The 17,475-nt window shown below is 33.6% G+C and overlaps 1 protein-coding gene across 10 annotated transcripts in view; it reads left to right on the forward strand.

Annotated features, from left to right (window-relative positions):
* NEDD1 (NEDD1 gamma-tubulin ring complex targeting factor) overlaps positions 1 to 15,115 on the forward strand; it is a 46,524-nt gene extending 31,409 nt beyond the window's left edge. For all 10 annotated transcript variants that reach the window (NM_152905.4, NM_001135177.2, XM_005268644.3 and 7 more), the window contains 7 exons: positions 1,744 to 1,872; positions 3,912 to 3,959; positions 4,895 to 5,097; positions 5,974 to 6,130; positions 7,028 to 7,184; positions 12,767 to 12,833; positions 13,284 to 15,115. In NM_152905.4, coding sequence (NP_690869.1) covers positions 1,744 to 1,872; positions 3,912 to 3,959; positions 4,895 to 5,097; positions 5,974 to 6,130; positions 7,028 to 7,184; positions 12,767 to 12,833; positions 13,284 to 13,388 — 866 coding nt within the window. In that variant the 3' untranslated portion in view covers positions 13,389 to 15,115. The remainder of the gene's footprint in view (positions 1 to 1,743; positions 1,873 to 3,911; positions 3,960 to 4,894; positions 5,098 to 5,973; positions 6,131 to 7,027; positions 7,185 to 12,766; positions 12,834 to 13,283) is intronic.
* Positions 15,116 to 17,475: the final 2,360 nt, after the last annotated feature.

Here is a 17,475-nt window from a genome sequence, read left to right on the forward strand (position 1 = left end):
TGTATTAATTGTATTTTGAAATGATTGTCATCTTACAGAAAAGTTTTAAGAATAGTACAGATAACTCCTGAGCATTACCCTTTGGCAGATGCACTTTATAAATTTTGCCACATTTGCTTCATCATTCTCTTTCTCTTCCTCTCTCTGTCTCTCATTCTCTCTCTCTCTCTCACACACACACACATTTTTCTTTGCCTCTGAAACATTGAGAATAGTAGACTCAGTCTCAGATCTGTCACTTCCGGCCAGGATGCTTTTAGGCAATTCTCTTAACCTTTCTGGGTCTCATTTTTTTCCTGTACACATTTAAGATGACATTTAACTGTTAGGGTTATTGTGAAAATCAGATAAAATGTATTGGAAGTACCTGGCACATGGTAGGCACTCAGTACACTATGGTGTTGATACTATCATTGTGGTCATCATGATCATCACTATTATTATTTTAAGCTTTGTATAAAATTAAAGTTCAGAAAAAAATTCTGTTGCTTCTATTGAAGTTGTCCTGATTCAGTTATTTCAAAGAACTTCTCTAAACTTGTTATTGGTACTTAGTTTTAGAAGGAAATCACCATTTAAGAAGAAAAGAATAAGACTTTAGCGCTGTTTTCAAATGATACCAAACTTCTGTTTCCTAAAGTTTCAGAGGCTGAGTTATGCATTCAAACATGTTAAGGACCTAGAAAAAAGGAGAGGAAATTTCTTCTTTGTAACAACTGAACTCTTGCTATAGACACTCTTCAACAATAGTACAAATGATTTGGTAATATTTTAACTTTATAGCAGGTGTTATTAGAAAAGTTTATTTTATTCGCCAGTCTTGGGCATTTTTGGATATGCAGGCTGTTCTTTGTTTTCATCTCAGACTTTTCAGTTTTTCATTTGGGCCTGAGATGCCAAATAAAGCACTTTTTAAAATGTAATACAGTAATGTGCTACCAATCCTGATGGCAGACTTTAATCAAAATTTTTGAACCTCTAAAACTGTCGTTACTCCAGTAATGAAACAGAAGCTTCTGAGCCTGCTGAGCTCCTCTTAAAAGGTCCCTACTCTAAAGCCATGTGTTTATACACTGCCAGAAAAAATAAACTGCTGCCGTCTCTTTATTGTTGTCTACCTTACTATTCTTTATGAGTTTGGTGTTCTGGTTTGCTTCCTCTTTGAAACTATGGAGGTTAGTGAAGTCATTTGAGATCTGTAATGCTGAGGGCAATGTTAAGCTCCCACTGTTAGTGAAAGAAAAGACAGAAAACCCCTTCACTGCAAGTCAGGGAAGAAAAGTAACATTAATTGAATCCTGCTGTATGTTAGGCATCGCTCTATATGCCTTACAGACTAAAAAAAAATCACATTTGTAGATGATCATGAGTCAGTCAATAGCAAAAGTAAGTTGTGTTCAGTGTACTTTAAGAGAGCAGCAAAGTATATAAATTATTTTAGAAAAATTCCAACAAAATGGCTAAAATAAGGTATTACTGTATGAACAAATAAGCTGTTTTCTTTTGAGGAACCTTTTGTTCCATGAAAATCCTGGTTAACTTTAGCTCTTGTCATATTCTGTTTTATTGTTCCATGAAAATCCTGATTAACTTTAGCTCTTGTCATATTCTGTTTTATTCTCCTTATGCTCATAGTTGTAATATTACCAACAATATGAGTGATACATTAATTTTTACAACCTAGCTTATGATAAAATTTATTTAGATGTAATAACATTGATTTTTATATCTAATTCCTATAAGGTTTGCCTCGAAGCATAAACACAGACACTTTATCTAAGGAAACAGACAGTGGAAAAAATCAGGATTTCTCCAGCTTTGATGATACTGGGAAAAGTAGTTTAGGTGACATGTTCTCACCTATCAGAGATGGTAAGTCTGTTCAGAGGATCCTGTTCTCTTGCTGGTAGTTAATATTTTTATTCTGGCTAAAAGATGTGAATAATAGCTTCAGTCCAACTCTATTCACGGATCAGTTTGCTAATTTTCTCCATCCCTGGGGTGGTATCTTTTTCTTTGCCCTGATATTTCAAATGTTATCATTGTAAAATATATGCTGGTAATTTTCACATGGGAATTATGCAAATAGCTCTCAAGTTAGCATTTTAATTTCCACAAAAGTTTCTTGAAGGAAGTTTTTACCTTCATAGGCAATCTGTCCCTTGTATCTACTTCTAAATTAATGTTCCTAAAATTTTAGATGTTTTGGTATGCAAAAAAGTCTTCCTAATTTAAAAAATTGTGTGTGTATAGGTGTACACCTCCCACCACCCCATAAAAAAGTTGGCATAATAAAAAGCAAATTTGCCAGCTTGATAAATAGAAGCATTATTTGTTATTCTTCATAGTGTCTGAACTAAGTACATTGTTTAGGTGTGTCTTTTTGGTACTAACATCCATAATGTTTTTCTTAGTGGAATGGAGTTACCTCATTGCTAACAGCAATATTAATAACATGGATACATTTCTAGAGGGTAATTTGACAGAGTTAATATATTCATACTTTTTGGCCTTGTATTTACATTTCTACAAATTTATCTCAGAAAATACTCAGAGAAGCCCACAAAGATTTGTGTATTTATTATTATAAGTGTACCATGTCAACAGCAGGATCTCGAAGTTGTTTCATCCACTCATTATCTTATACAATTTCATTTTTTACTTTAAAATTGTCTCTTTTCCAAATGTTCTACAATTTTATAGTCAGAAGGAATAAATACATACGTGGTGGTACAGAATTATTGAGTATCTTCTGCCTTACCCTGGCCTGCAAATTTCTATTTAAATTGCTAAGTCAAACTGAAAGAGGAAGGATTCTTTTCTTTCAGGATGAAGAGAAGTCGAACTACATCAAACTACATTGTAAAGGGTAAACAGAGGGACGGATGTAGGTGGAGAGAAAAGTGACTAGTGCTGGAGTTGAGAAAGGTTTCTGGGATTAGTGCTGAATTGCGAGTTTTGGCCAGTGAGACTCCTCTGGAGGAACTTTTGCATTGAAGAATGTACAAAGGGGCTTTTTGGAAGTGTTTGAGTTATAAATTAAATTCTCTTTAATAGTTTTTAAGACAAATGAATAAATTACTTTTTTCTTTAATTACTTTTGCTATGTTTAAAAATGTTACTAGCATTTGAGTCATACGCCCTCCAGATTCATTATGGTTCCAAAGTATTGATAAGGAAGCTAATAACTTCTAAAAGTGTGCATGTACATGCTGTGCAATTACTGGGAACATATACACACATGCACATAGATGATATTTCTCCTGATATAGTTGTGTGTTTATTGGCCATTTGAATTTCTAGTAAATTCGTTAATGACTTTGGCTCATTTTTAATTCACCTGTTAAATTTGAATTTTACAATTTTTGTTATGGACTGGCAAATGAATATTACAGGATTAAAATAATCTTATACATATTCTACCATGGAAATAAACACTAATAAAACTTTGTTCTGCTTTGCAAAATATTTTTGTATTATTTCAATTGATCCTCAAAGCAATTTTGTGAGCTTATCTGGACATTATCCCCATTTTATAGATGCAGAAACTGAAACTTAATTGCATCTGAGACTTGTCCAAGGTCACAAAGCTATTAAGTGGTATAGGCAGAACTGGATTATAGCTCTCCATAACCTACCCCCTACACCAGGGCTTGTTACACTATACCTTGCTGCCTCATTAAATGACTGTACTATAGAATTATCTGTTCATATTTGCTGCTAAAGTGTGAATGAAGCTAAAATAATGTAAAAGAGAAATTTAAATCAGTATTCTCCTACCTTTAACATCACTCATATTTAGCTTTTTAAGATTGTTAGTCTCTGAACTCTTTGGGGAATGAATAAGAAGCCTAAATTGATATGGTTTCTTTTTCACTAGTTTTAAAATTTGATTTTCTAATTTGTTATAGATGCTGTAGTTAACAAGGGAAGTGATGAGTCCATAGGCAAAGGAGATGGTAAGAACTACTTAGAAGTATTTTCGTGAAAATGAAAAGTGAATTGTATTATCTATGCTGTGTAACAAATCTCTCCAACACTTTGAGGCTTAAAAAAATAAACATTTATCGTCTCATAATTTCTGTGTATTAAGAACTGAGCATGACTTGGCTGAGTACCTTTGCCTTCAAGTCTATCTTCCTGCTTCAATCAGGATGTCAACCAGAGCTTCATTCAACTTAAGACTCAACTGGGCAGGGAACTGTTTCCAAGCTCATTCCTATGGCTGTTGGCTGGAGATATCAGTTCCATGCCAATGAGCTTCTTTATATATGGGGCAGCCAACAACATGGCAGCTGGTTTACCTCAGAGCCGGTGAACAAGAGAATTCGAGAGGGCATCCAAAATGGAAGCCCTCTCTTAAGATTATGTTAATAACCTTAATCTTGGTAGTGACATCTCACTACTTTTTCATATTACTTTTGTTAGAAGCAAGTTACTAGGTCCAAGCCACGTTCAAAGGGAGGAGATTACCCAAGGATAGCGACGCCAAAGGCAGGGGTCATTAGAAGCCATCTCAGAAATTGCCTTCCAAGATACATACCACAGATATATACCAAATTAACAATTTTCAGTTATCAAGAACTAATACTGACTAAAACATTGTGTTTTGCTGTTTTCAAAGTATTTTCACAAATAATATCTTTGAAGCCTTACCACTCTGGGAGATGGATATCATCATTTACATTTGTAGATCGGGAAATAGTCACAGAAAGTTTAAGACTTTTGCCCAAAAATACACATCAATTGCGGGGTGTATCTGAGAAACAAACCAGTCTTCAGAATGCAGATCCATATCTTCTTCCATGTTAATCTGCCTATCATGTTAAATGCTTTTCTTCAATGTCCAAAATTGGAGGACACCATATGCACATGCAGTTTTTCCCTTTTCCAGGCTTTGACTTTCTACCGCAGTTGAACTCAGTGTTTCCTCCAAGAAAAAATCCAGTAACTTCAAGTACTTCAGTATTGCATTCTAGTCCTCTTAATGTTTTTATGGGATCTCCAGGGAAAGAGGAAAATGAAAACCGTGATCTAACAGCTGAGTCTAAGAAAATATATATGGGAAAACAGGAATCTAAAGACTCCTTCAAACAGGTATTTGCCTGAAAATGATACTGAACTCACTGTATGTGTTTATCAGTAGAAAGTGGGTGGCTGCCAGTGCATGTATCCTAATTATTAGCATTGCTATGCACTTATTCATAAGTCTTGATGTCAGATTTTAATAACTACAGAATACTTTGAAATCTCGCTTTGGATATGTTGAAGGTTACAGCAGATGGAAAGTTGCAGTATTTTTCTAAGATGAGATACTTGATATATCTTGATAAAGTGTGCAAGAACAGTTTATCCCTGAATCCTTTTAAAGTGTATTTCATTGCAGTATACAACATCAAGTTGGTGGTTAAATCATTAGAGCAAACTGATGGTGCTGAGAATGGAATTTATCATTGTTACTTTCTGCTAAAATATATATATATAATACAGAATTTAATTTTTTATGTAAGGGTTCAAAATGATCAAAAATTACCAGGAAGGCCAAGCCAGTTGGGTATACAATATGTCTGTATTTTCGTATTTATTGTTTAGAATGATATTGAAAAGATACCATGTAAGAAGTACAAAAACATCTTTTGATTTATTTTGCAAATATTATTGACTGGTTACCACATGCATGGTGTTTTTGTTTTTGTTTTGCCAGTTATCTCTATTTTAAATGATACTTAACAGCAGGTGCTTAGTAAATGAGCTTTTCCTCATGTTATTGTTGAGATTGTTTTTGATTAGTAAGTGTTACTTTATTTTGCCTCCAGTTCTCTTTTTCTTTTTCTTCTTCTATATCTCTTCCTATTTTCCTTCATTTCTATTAACCTACATACTGGGACAAAAGAGAGAAGTAGGCAAAAATTATATGGGTAATATGAGTAAAAAAATTGTATATTAAAGTCATTATTTATTTTAAATATAAAGTTAGCAAAGTTGGTCACATCTGGTGCTGAAAGTGGAAATCTAAATACCTCTCCATCATCTAACCAAACAAGAAATTCTGAGAAATTTGAAAAGCCAGAGAATGAAATTGAAGCCCAGTTGATATGTGAACCCCCAATCAATGGATCCTCAACTCCAAGTAAGTACATGAAACTTCCTGATGTTTGAAAGTGTTTGATTGAAAAATCATCCCCATTATTTAACTTGTAAAGGAGAAATAGAGTAATCATAGACTAAAAATGTTCAAAGAGTTTAAAGTTTGTGGACACTTCTGTTGTGTGAGTGTTACTAAAGACAATGAAATGGATATGAATCGTTAAATTCAGGTACGTTGATTTGATCTTTTGGTGTGAATTAGATTTTCAGTGTAATATGTGTCTTTAATATGGTAGAGATAGAATTATTATGTAGGACCCTTTGAAAAGGGTTGGTTAACTACCTGAAAATGTCTTTTTCTCTTTCATATTAAAGTCTTATCCTTAGAGTTTGTGCTGCAGACCCATACAAACTTCATCACATTTAAAGGAATATTTGGTTTAACTCTAAGAGTTATCTACACAAAGCAACTCTTTGTTTACAATCAACTCTCATATAAATATCTATATTTTGCTTGAAGTTTTCTGTGGATATATATTGCATTAGCTTAAACTCTAAGGCTTTTCCTGTAGCAGTACTTTACTCCTATTTTCCTTCGGTTTGTTTTTAATAGTCTTGGTTTATCTAGTTTATGGTGCAGCTTGTCACATTCATCTTTTATAAGAGGAAATGGTTCATAGATTCTTCAAGATTAATCCCTCTGTCATGTGGTATTACATTAGACAGCTGGCAGTTTATATATATAGATAAATGACTATTAGAAATAATGTTATAGAAAGTTTCTAAGATTTGTATTCCAGACAGTGAATTTTTCTAAATGTCACAGGAACACTCTTCTTTGCCAGTTTTTCAAGTTTGCACATGCCAAATCTTATTTAGAAATGTTTGATGTCTCTCAGTCCAAGTTGACTATTAATATTTTCTTCATTCTTTATTTTAGATCCAAAGATAGCATCTTCTGTCACTGCTGGAGTTGCCAGTTCACTCTCAGAAAAAATAGCCGACAGCATTGGAAATAACCGGCAAAATGCACCATTGACTTCCATTCAAATTCGTTTTATTCAGAACATGATACAGGAAACGTTGGATGACTTTAGGTAGTAATTGAGAAACTACTCCTTCTATCTAGACCTTACTTGTTTTTTTTTTAGATGTAAAACCAGAACTATAGATAATGTTGTTGGTTACTATTGTCTAGGTTCTGGTAATCCTAAAGCCATAGAAAACATAATGAGTTTTGTTGATCTTTTCGTACTGCATTTATTGATTATGAGCCAGGAAAAGGCACATTTACCTAGGGCAATTATTAGGTAACTCAGCAGGGCAGTCTAGCAGGTAGACTGCCATTGTGAACTTTTTTTATTATTAAAATGTGGACAAGTTCTGGTAAGCTTAAATTGGGTTCTTAACCTGCAGTATGTTCATAGATCTATTAGGTATGCTGTGTGCAATAATGTAGTAGAAAAAGATACTTTAAAGCACAATTCTGAATGTTTTCCAATAGAATGCATCAGAATGTAATACTTAATCTAAAAAAAATTCTTTCTCAGACTTATCCTTGTCTGTCTCATCCTTCGAATTGTGAACATTCTAAGAATGTGTTCTACAATGCTGCTTTCTTTTATCATCTCAATATTTTTGGAAGCTATCTTCAATTATTAAAATCATTGGTGCCTTTTTTCCTTTCTAACCTATAGTTAATGTTGTAGCTCAGATTTGGATTACCGTAAGCAAGAATGTTGGAGAAAATGTGCAGTTTTTGTTGGTGCATGCTTCCTTTTAATGTTTTAAAATACTTTTAAAATATATTTTTAAATGTCGAAAAATACTTTTTAAAGAAAAATTGTAATTTTGGCATTTACCCTACCTAGTATATGTACCAGATACTAAGGATACATCAAATGATCTGCCACAAAGGCCTTGTGATGTAGTTGGGCTAGGTGCAGTGTGTTCTGCCATGTGTGTTTCTCTTAATGTGAATTAATTCATTTGGGATCAGTAGAATAGAACACTGTTGACAATATGATGAGGAAATTTTGTTTGTTCGTGTAATAGCAGCCAAAATAAAGTACACCTGAACACAGCTGAATGCAGCAAACCCCGTCAGCATCCATCTCTTTTTATTCACTTCCTCTTGGCTTGGCTGTGTGGTCTGTTAGAAGTACTTATTTTGTGATTATTTCCCATCTTTGGGCATTTTGCTCTTGCCTCTGTAACTTGATAGCCGCAATCCTTCTATCCTCTTCCATTAAGTGACCATCACTTCTTCACAGTAAGGGTATTATTCAATAATTATCTATTAGATTTTTACTATGTCTTTTTAACTATGTTAGTATTTTTATTAGGATTTAATTGTTTTTGTTGTGCTCTGGTTACAAAGTTGCATAGGTTTTTGAGTGCTTTGCCCTAATCCTTTTTCCCTAAGTTCTGTTATTTTTAATACACAGTGTTAAAGAATATACGTTTTTTTCAGGAGTGCATAAATATTTATGGCATAATAGTAGAACTGTCTGGATACAGCTGACTATAATACAGTGTGAGCAAAGTGATGTTGAAATCACAGAAAGGGAGCAGTTCTTCTGTGGGGGCAGATTTAGAAAGGTACACTGAAGAGATTTTATTTTATACTGATGTGTGTGGGAACAGCTTGAGCAGAGACATGATCATACATTCTAGGAATGTTTGCAGAGAGAAGGCACCGTGGTAAGAGACCAGGCCTGAGGGACAGTTGTGAAGGTCTTAACACACAGGTAATGGAGAGCCATCAGAGTTTTTAAGCACAGGAGTAATGGGTGCTGTCTATTTATTACCCATTTATTCAACAAGCATTTGGGTGTCAGTTCACCACTGGCTTCAGATGATTTGAGGACAGTGGGCTCAGGGCCTTTCCTTCAGCAGACCCAGGGATCTGAGTGCTGGAGCAACTCTGAAATCGCTGTGCATTTCTGCCCTGCTGCCAGCTTTCGGGGTGGCTGGAGCTTGTTTTTCACTATCTAACCTGTTCCTGGCTTTCTGTGCCTCAGGAGAAGTGTGTCTGTCCCACTTTCAGCCCTGCAGAGCTGCTGCAGCACGTTTGGTGAAGACGTACAGTCAGTGCCTCTTGGTTTTGCTGCCCTGTGCTGCATGTCTGCACCTAGGAGTGGTGGGTAGGGACTTCTCTCAGCTCTTCTGCCCTTTGACCATAGGCAGCCTCTGCCTGGGACGCAGTGAAGACCCAGAGTGGCTCAGAGGATTTCCATAAATTCACTTGTTTTGCCATTTGCCTAGGTGTTCATCAGACTAGGTGTTCATCTACACCTATCATTGGCAGGACAGAGAGGGTATTGAGGACCTCTTTCTCAGCCATCCTCCCGTGGCTGCCATCTTCTCCATGAGAGCCTGGAGTGCCTTAGAGGGGTTACTCTCAGTTCTTCTCTGCTGCCCTAAGGTTTCACCAGGCTCTGTGCATCTGTATCTTAGGGAGTCTCCCTCAGCCCTCCTGTTACACTTGTCCCTACTTTTTTTACATGAGCGCTGAATGAAGGCTTGTGGGAAAAAGTTGGTGAGTAAATTGAGACTCTCCTTGTGGCTGGGACCCCTTGGAATTCTAAACTATCAAGCAGTGTTTACTTGGCTTTTAAAAATCTTATTAAAATTTCAGCTAGTTCTTTTTACTCTGTCAAGGGCATGAAGATGGGTCTCTTTTCTCCTAGTCATGGGTCTCTTTTCTCCTAAGAGGAACTCCTCATTTTCTGGATTTTAGTTCATTTAGATTTCTTTCCATTCTCAGCTCTCGGTTGAATTTAAAATAATATGATTTTATAGGTTATCAGGTTTGTTTTCGTTATTAGAGTTGAGAAATTATACTTTTGCACCAACCTAATACATCCTAAGTGGAAATCTGTGCATCTGTTTCTGTTGTCTATTAAGAAGATTTAAGTTTCTTTTGGCAAGCAGATCCCTTTGATCCTTTGGTTACTAGGTTCAGGTTTTCTTAGCACTAGTTTGTTTCCAGTTTGCCTTTATTCCTAGTGTGTAGTCTTTTCTAGGACATCAGCTGAATGTCTGGAGTATTCACTGTCTTTTTTACCTTGGTGGGTCCCAAACTTCAGCCTCTATTTTGCCAGCATCACAAGACTTCCAGAATACTTTCTCTGCTCTTTAGTTACTTGTTTTTTGGTTGGTTTCCTGCCATCTAACCCAGGGGGAGCATTGCTTAGAAGTCAACAGATGTCTTGAGGGGAAATTCCACAGTTTCAGGCTTAGTTTTCTGCAGGCCTCCTCTCTTCAAGACCTTGGCTCTTACAGCCTTGGCTACCTTGGTAGGCCCAAACTCTTAATACTCCCCCACCCAGCGAGACTATCTCAACCTCCAGGCCACTGCTTCAGCTCGGTTTCTTCTCCACACTGTGGAATCAGCACATACTCTAGAAGGAAAAACAGAGGTAAATGAAGAGCTTACCTAGTAGTCTTTCGTTTGCAAGATCATGGCCCTTCAAGTCCTGGCTACCTCAATGGTTCCCTGATACAGTGTTTTTGTTTGTTTTCAATACAGTTTTTACTATAATTGAAAGTAGAAGAGGAAATTTTTAAAAATACCCTCATAGTTAGAACAGAAAAACAATAAGTTACTTGGGAATAAATCTACCAAAGGTAGTGAAGATTTTTGTAGAAAAACATTAAAAATTTTTTTTGTTTAAAAGCATTAACATTTAAATAAATGGAGAGATTATAAAGATATTAGTTCACCTAAATAGGTCAGTAGATTGAATGCAATTCCAATTAAAATCCCAGCTGGGATTTGGAAGAAGATGATGAAGTGATTCCAAAATATGTATGGAAGGAAAAAAATCTAAGAATAACTAAGACATTTCAGAGAAGAATAAGGTTGAAGGGGACTTATTTGTCAGATGAATACACTTAATTATTAAAGTATAATTAAGATATATAGCATGGCACAGGGATGACATACTGGCCAAAGGAATGAAATAAGCTGGAAAGAAACCTATGCATATATGGAAATAATAGAGAGGTAGCATTGCAGATTTATGTGCAAAAAATGGAATAATCAGTAAGTTGTGTTGTGACATTTGTTTTTTCCTGTAAAAAATAAGTATAGATTCCATGCAATTGAGAAAAATCAGTTCCATGTAGATTAAAAGTTGACTTTATAAAAGTTTATAACTTCATGGTAGGAAATCATTAAAAATAAAATAATGCACTGCCTATAAAAATACATTGGTAAATTTGACTGCATTATTAGTATATTTGAGCACATTAATAAGAACTATTTATCACACAATATCACAGAGTGAAGGGATAAGAAGATACCTGCAGTTCTCATATAAATAACAAAGGATCAGATTATGTAAAGAATGCTTATAAATGAATAAGAAAAAGATATGAAAAAGCATTTCAAGGAAGAGGAATGGTATATGAACACAGGAAAGATATTCAACTTCACAATTAATCAGAGAACTAAAAATGCAATGAGATACCGTGTCACACCGAGTAAATGGGAAAATATAAAAAATCTGGTAATACTAAGTCTTGATGATATAGAGCAAGAAGAACTCTGTTATACTGGTGACATCCATTGATAACTACCTTTGGAAAACAATTTGCATGATTTTGTAAAAGTATACACTTGAGTTACAGTTGGTTATATCATCAATGGACATTGGCACATGTGGGTTTGGAGATAATACATGATTGTTTATAACAACGTTGGAATAGTAAAAACTTGAAAACAGTCAAAATATTAACAGGAAAATAGATACACCAGTACAAACTAATGATATACAGATATATAAAACATGAATCTTCAAAACAATATTGAATTATTTCTTAAATATAAGCTATATGGTACCCTTTTTTGTAATGCTCAAAAACATGCACAATGAAAACATTGACTACAGATTATATGTTATACAAATGTATTAAAAAAGCAAAAGCATTTCTTTGTCCAACAAAATTCAGGAGAGTAATGACTTCTTTCTTGGGCTTTTTCCCAAGAGTTAAGTGATAGAATCAGACAGGAACACACAGGAAGCTTCTATTATTTGGTAATGTTCTAGTTCATAAGTTGTGTGGTGGGTGACTGAGTGTTTCTTTTGTTATTATACTTAATAATTTTTACATATTCTTTTGTAGGCATGAATTAATTGTATTTTATTGAGTAAGCCATGCTATATCCACCCAAATTGCCACTTTATACTGAAAGTACATTTTTTCAATAGCTAAACTGATAATAATAAAATGATCTTTCTAACCTAGTGAATTTTCTGTATTTCATTGTAAGATAAGTTTGTGTCTTAATGACAATTTCTATATAAAGGAATATAGTATCGGAGAGTTCAGGGGTTAAACAGCCTGGGTTTACATCCTAGCTCCATCATTTACTGGTTGTGTGACTTTGAACAAGTTATATCTACTCTGGTTAAGTTATTTCTTTTGTAAAATGGACCTGTAATAATTGCATCTACTTGTGAAGATATTTTAAACGAGTTCTTACATTTAAAGTAAAGGAAACAGTGCCTAGCACATAGTGAATAAATGCTCAGTGCATTGGTATTTTTATTATTATAGTAATTATTAACATTCAGTAATTTGGCAAATGAAAAAGTTTAGTGAGTTTCTTGAATGACCTAGAATTGGTTAAACTATTGTAATTCTAAAAAGTATTTTACATTCTTCCTAGAGAAGCATGCCATAGGGACATTGTGAATTTGCAAGTGGAGATGATTAAACAGTTTCATATGCAACTGGTATGTATGGCAAATTTTATTTTAATATTTTAAATGAAAGTAGAGTTGTGTGAATTTTTAAAAATCCATGAAAGGTAATATATTTTAGTTGTTTTGTTTAGTTTCTAAGATAAATAGGGAGTTTTATAGACTAAATAAGTAAAATAGATTTTAACTGGTCACCTCCTTTTTAACCTCTGAGATACTTAAGCCTTCTTTTTTCCATGGCTTTCTTCCTGATAAGTAAGCAAAAAGCATTTTAAATGTGCAAATATAAATTTTCCAAATATACTAATTTCACCAACGATCTTCCATTTATATTAACAAACTAGTAAGTTGTTAAGTACAAGAAATATCATTCACCTAGTTAATTGAACATGAGAGAAATGATAGCTGAAAGTATATTAAACATAGCCTGCCAAATAAATGTGAAATATCAATAATTTAAAAAGCATTTTCCTGTTTTTCTAGAATGAAATGCATTCTTTGCTGGAAAGATACTCAGTGAATGAAGGTTTAGTGGCTGAAATTGAAAGACTACGAGAAGAAAACAAAAGATTACGGGCCCACTTTTGAAATTTCAGTGAATACCTTAATGTTCTGTAATTTGGGAAGTTTCTGGCAACACAGAACTACATAGAATCAGTATTGTTTTCATGGCCTCCAGGGAAAAAATGTTTTTCAAGTAAGAGTAAAAGGATGATGGGATTTTATACCAACAACTGTTTCATCTTAAAAATATGTATATTTTTATATTAAAAATTGTACAGTATGTCATCTACCCAATAGGAAAGTCAACAGGATCTTTATTTTTTGAAAGCTTTAGCCATCCACTAAGTGCCCTTTTTCATAAGAGAAGAAAATTGTGCATAAAAATTGGTTATGTTTGTTTTTTAGTCATCTTTTTTAACATATATTTTTGATTGACAAATTGCCTTTCAAATTTTTGGGGCTAGTTGAGATTTAAAGAGTTTGATATGCCTTCTATTTTTATGGAGAAAGTAATTTTAAAATGGCAATTGGTGTTTCTAAGCCATTGACTAATAAAACATAGGGTTGGCTAGTAATTATTTTGTTAACTTGATGAAGTCAAGTATGACTATTATTTATTGTACATTTGATAAGACAATTTTTGGAATTTTGAATTGCACAAATTACATGATATCTTTTGCATTTATGTTACTATATTGTACTTCTGACAAATCTTTATTCCTGGGTGGTATTTTTAAGATATCTTTACCTATAAAAAATGTTTAAGGTTCATAGGACTCGACAAGAGCTATCTGGTGATTTTCTCATTAGTAACATGCAACGTTGTACTGCAAAATTTCAATCAACATGACAACTTATAATGAGTGGAGATTTCATATTAGGTACTAAATATTATAGTATTATTTCTATTTTCTTTTTCCAAATAAGAAGCTTGGATTATTTTATTTTGTGGTCTTTATCATTAACTTTAATTCTTTCTGTACTGTGTATAATATTTTTATATTATTGGCCTTACCATAAAATTATTTAGAAAGGTTGTCAAAATAAGTTATACCTCTTTGGCAATAGATAGATGTATACATCTACCTACTATGATCTACAATTTTAGGTTAAGTGAAGCTTGGGGGGGCTACTGACTTGGTTACCTTCTTGTCTCTTGTCCCAAAGATTTAAACTGTGTACCTTTGTATAGCTCTTCTGCCCCATTTTGACTTCTGAGATGAAAGTATTTACTAAAATTAAAAAAAAAAAAACAAAAAACAAACCTTTAGCTCACTAACTTTATGGGTTTCTGAAGTGATGGAAATTTTTAAGGATATATTTAATAAGCATAAACTTACTAATAATTACTTCCAAAAATAAAAACAGGAATATTACTTTTACCCAGTGTGGTTTATAGCATACATTTGTACTGAAGCATATAGGGATGTTAATGTGATCTTTTCCTGACAGATTATGAAAGCATTATGACTTGTAACAAGTTTCCTTGTATATCACTAACAGGTTTAGAAGACATAAATATTAGTGTGTTTTGCCTACATGGTGTATTTAAATCTATTAATATTTTCCTGTTGCTTTTTTAAAAAAATAAATACACATAATGTATATTAAAAGAGGTGGGATGAAATAATTTTAGTAATTATGTGTACAGATGAAACATTTTTGTCATGGAATTTAAAAGCTAAGTAAGTATAAAAAATAAAATGTTATATGCAAAAAATAGGAAACATGAAATTGAAATTTCATTGTTGGCCAAAATGATATGAGAGATTTACCTTCCCACCTGAAATTAAAAAAGAAAATATGTGAAACAGTTGTCAGATATTGATCCTTGAGAGAAACAAATGAGACCTAAGAAACTCAATGAACCTCAAACACAAGAAATAAAAAGAAAACTATGCCAAGGCACATCATTATCAAATTCCTTAAAGCCAGCAACAAGGGAGAATTTGTTTTAAGTAGCTAGAGAAAAAACACATAGAAGGACAGAGAGAAGAATGTCAGACACTGGAGCAACATCTTTAAAGTACTGAAAGAAAAGTTCAATTTAGAATTCTATACCTAGCGAAAATATTTTTCAAAAGCAAAAATGAAATAACTTTTTCAGACTTAGAAAAGCTAAAAGAGTTTATCACAAGCAGGCTCGCACCACAGGAAATGATTTAAAAAAATGCCTTTAGAAGGAAATTATACCAAATAGAAATCTGCAGCTATACAAAGGAATGAAGAACACCAAAAGTGGTAAATATGTGAGTAAATATAAAAATTATTTTTCTATTTTAAATTTATTTAAAAGACAATAGATTAAAGCAAAATAGTAATAATAATAGGGTGTTGTGCGGTTAACATATGTAAAGTGAAATATATGACAATATCAAGATTGGGATGATGGAAATGAAAGTATACTGCTCTAAAGTTCTTATACTGACCATGAAGCAGTATAACATTCCCTGAGAGTAAACTGATAAGAATGTGTATTATAAGACCTAAAGCAACCACAAAAAGAAAATCAGTGAATAAACAGCTAGTAAGCCAGTAAAGGTGATAAAATGAAGTCATAAAAAAAAATCTGAAAGAAGAACAAAGAGTCAATGGGACAGATAGAAAATAAACACTAAGATAGTAGATTTAAATAGCTGTATCAATTAAATGTAAATTGTCGGTTATCCTTTTTTAAAATCAGTTGAGTCTTGCTTTTTTTAATCCACCTGTTTTGAATACAAGAAACCCACTTTATACTGAACAGAATGCAAATGAAAACAAAATATCAAAATTTGTAGGAATCAGCTAGAGCAGTACTTACAGGGGAATTTATAGCATTAAATGTATATATTAAAAAAGGAAAGATCTCAAGTCAGAGTTGTCAGCTTCCACCTTTTTTTTTTTCTGTTAAGGAGACAGGAATTTCACTCTGTTGCCTAGGTTGAAGTGATTATATAATAGCTAACTTTAGCCTTGAACTCCTGGGTTCAAGTGATCCTCCCACCTCAGCCTCCCAAGAAGCTGGGACTATAGGCATGTGACACTACGCCCAGCGTAGCATCCACCTTAAGAAGTTAGAAAAATAATAGCAGATGAACTTCAAAATAAAAAGAGAATAAAGAGATAAAAAATCAGTTGAGGAAATCGGTGCAATTAAAAACTTTTTTTTTTTTTATTTTTGTAGAGGCAGCGTTTCACTATGTTGCCCAGGCTGGTCTTGAACCTGGCCTCAAGTGATGCTCCCACCTCAACCTCCCAAAGTGCTGGTATTGTATGTATGAGCCACCCTGCTTCGCCTCTGTTTCCTTAAGATCAAGAAAAATGATAAACCTTTAGCTAGACTAATGAGAAAAAGAGACAAAATTACCAACATCGGGGATGAGAGAATTGACAACACCACAATTTCTGTAGACATTTCTGATAAGATGCCAAACCTAAATGGCTACACTGATGAATTCTTTCAAAGATTAAAAGAAGACAATATCCCAATATTTTACAAAAGCTTCCAGGAAATAGGAGGGGATAATTTCCAGCTCAATGTTTGAGACCAACATTACCCTCATGCCAAAATAAGGCAGCATCATGACAAGAAAACTAGACAATATTTGCCATGAAGACAGATGTAAACGTTCTAAACGAGATTTTTTTAGCAGTTTGAATCCAGTGATGGGTAAAAGAGAACACATATGACCAAGTGAGGTTTATCTCAAGAATGCAAATTTGGGCTAACATTAAAAATCAATTGTAATTCGCCATATTAAACGGACTAACAGGAAAATTATGTGATCACCTCAATAGATGCAGAAAGAGCATTTGATAAAACCCAACATTCATTCTTGATAAAAACTCAGCAAAGTAGGAATAAAAGAGAACGAAAAGGACATCAAAAACCCCCAGCAGCTAACATTAAACTTAATACTGAAAAACTGAATGTTTTTTTCCCTAAGATCAGAGGCAAAGCAAGTGTATATGATGTTCTCTTCTATTAAACATTCTATTAGAATTTCTAGCCGAGGCAATTCGCAAGAAAAAGAAACAACATCCAGATTACAAAGGAATAAGTTTTTAAACAGCCTCCACTCTGACTATAGAAAATCCAATGGAATACATGAAAATATCTAATAAGTTTAATAACGTTACAGGATACGTCTATCTACAGAACTCAATTGCATTTCTATATACTTGCAAC

The sequence above is a fragment of the Homo sapiens genome, chromosome 12 (genome assembly GCF_000001405.40).
Source record: "Homo sapiens chromosome 12, GRCh38.p14 Primary Assembly".
Classification (NCBI taxonomy): domain Eukaryota; kingdom Metazoa; phylum Chordata; class Mammalia; order Primates; family Hominidae; genus Homo; species Homo sapiens.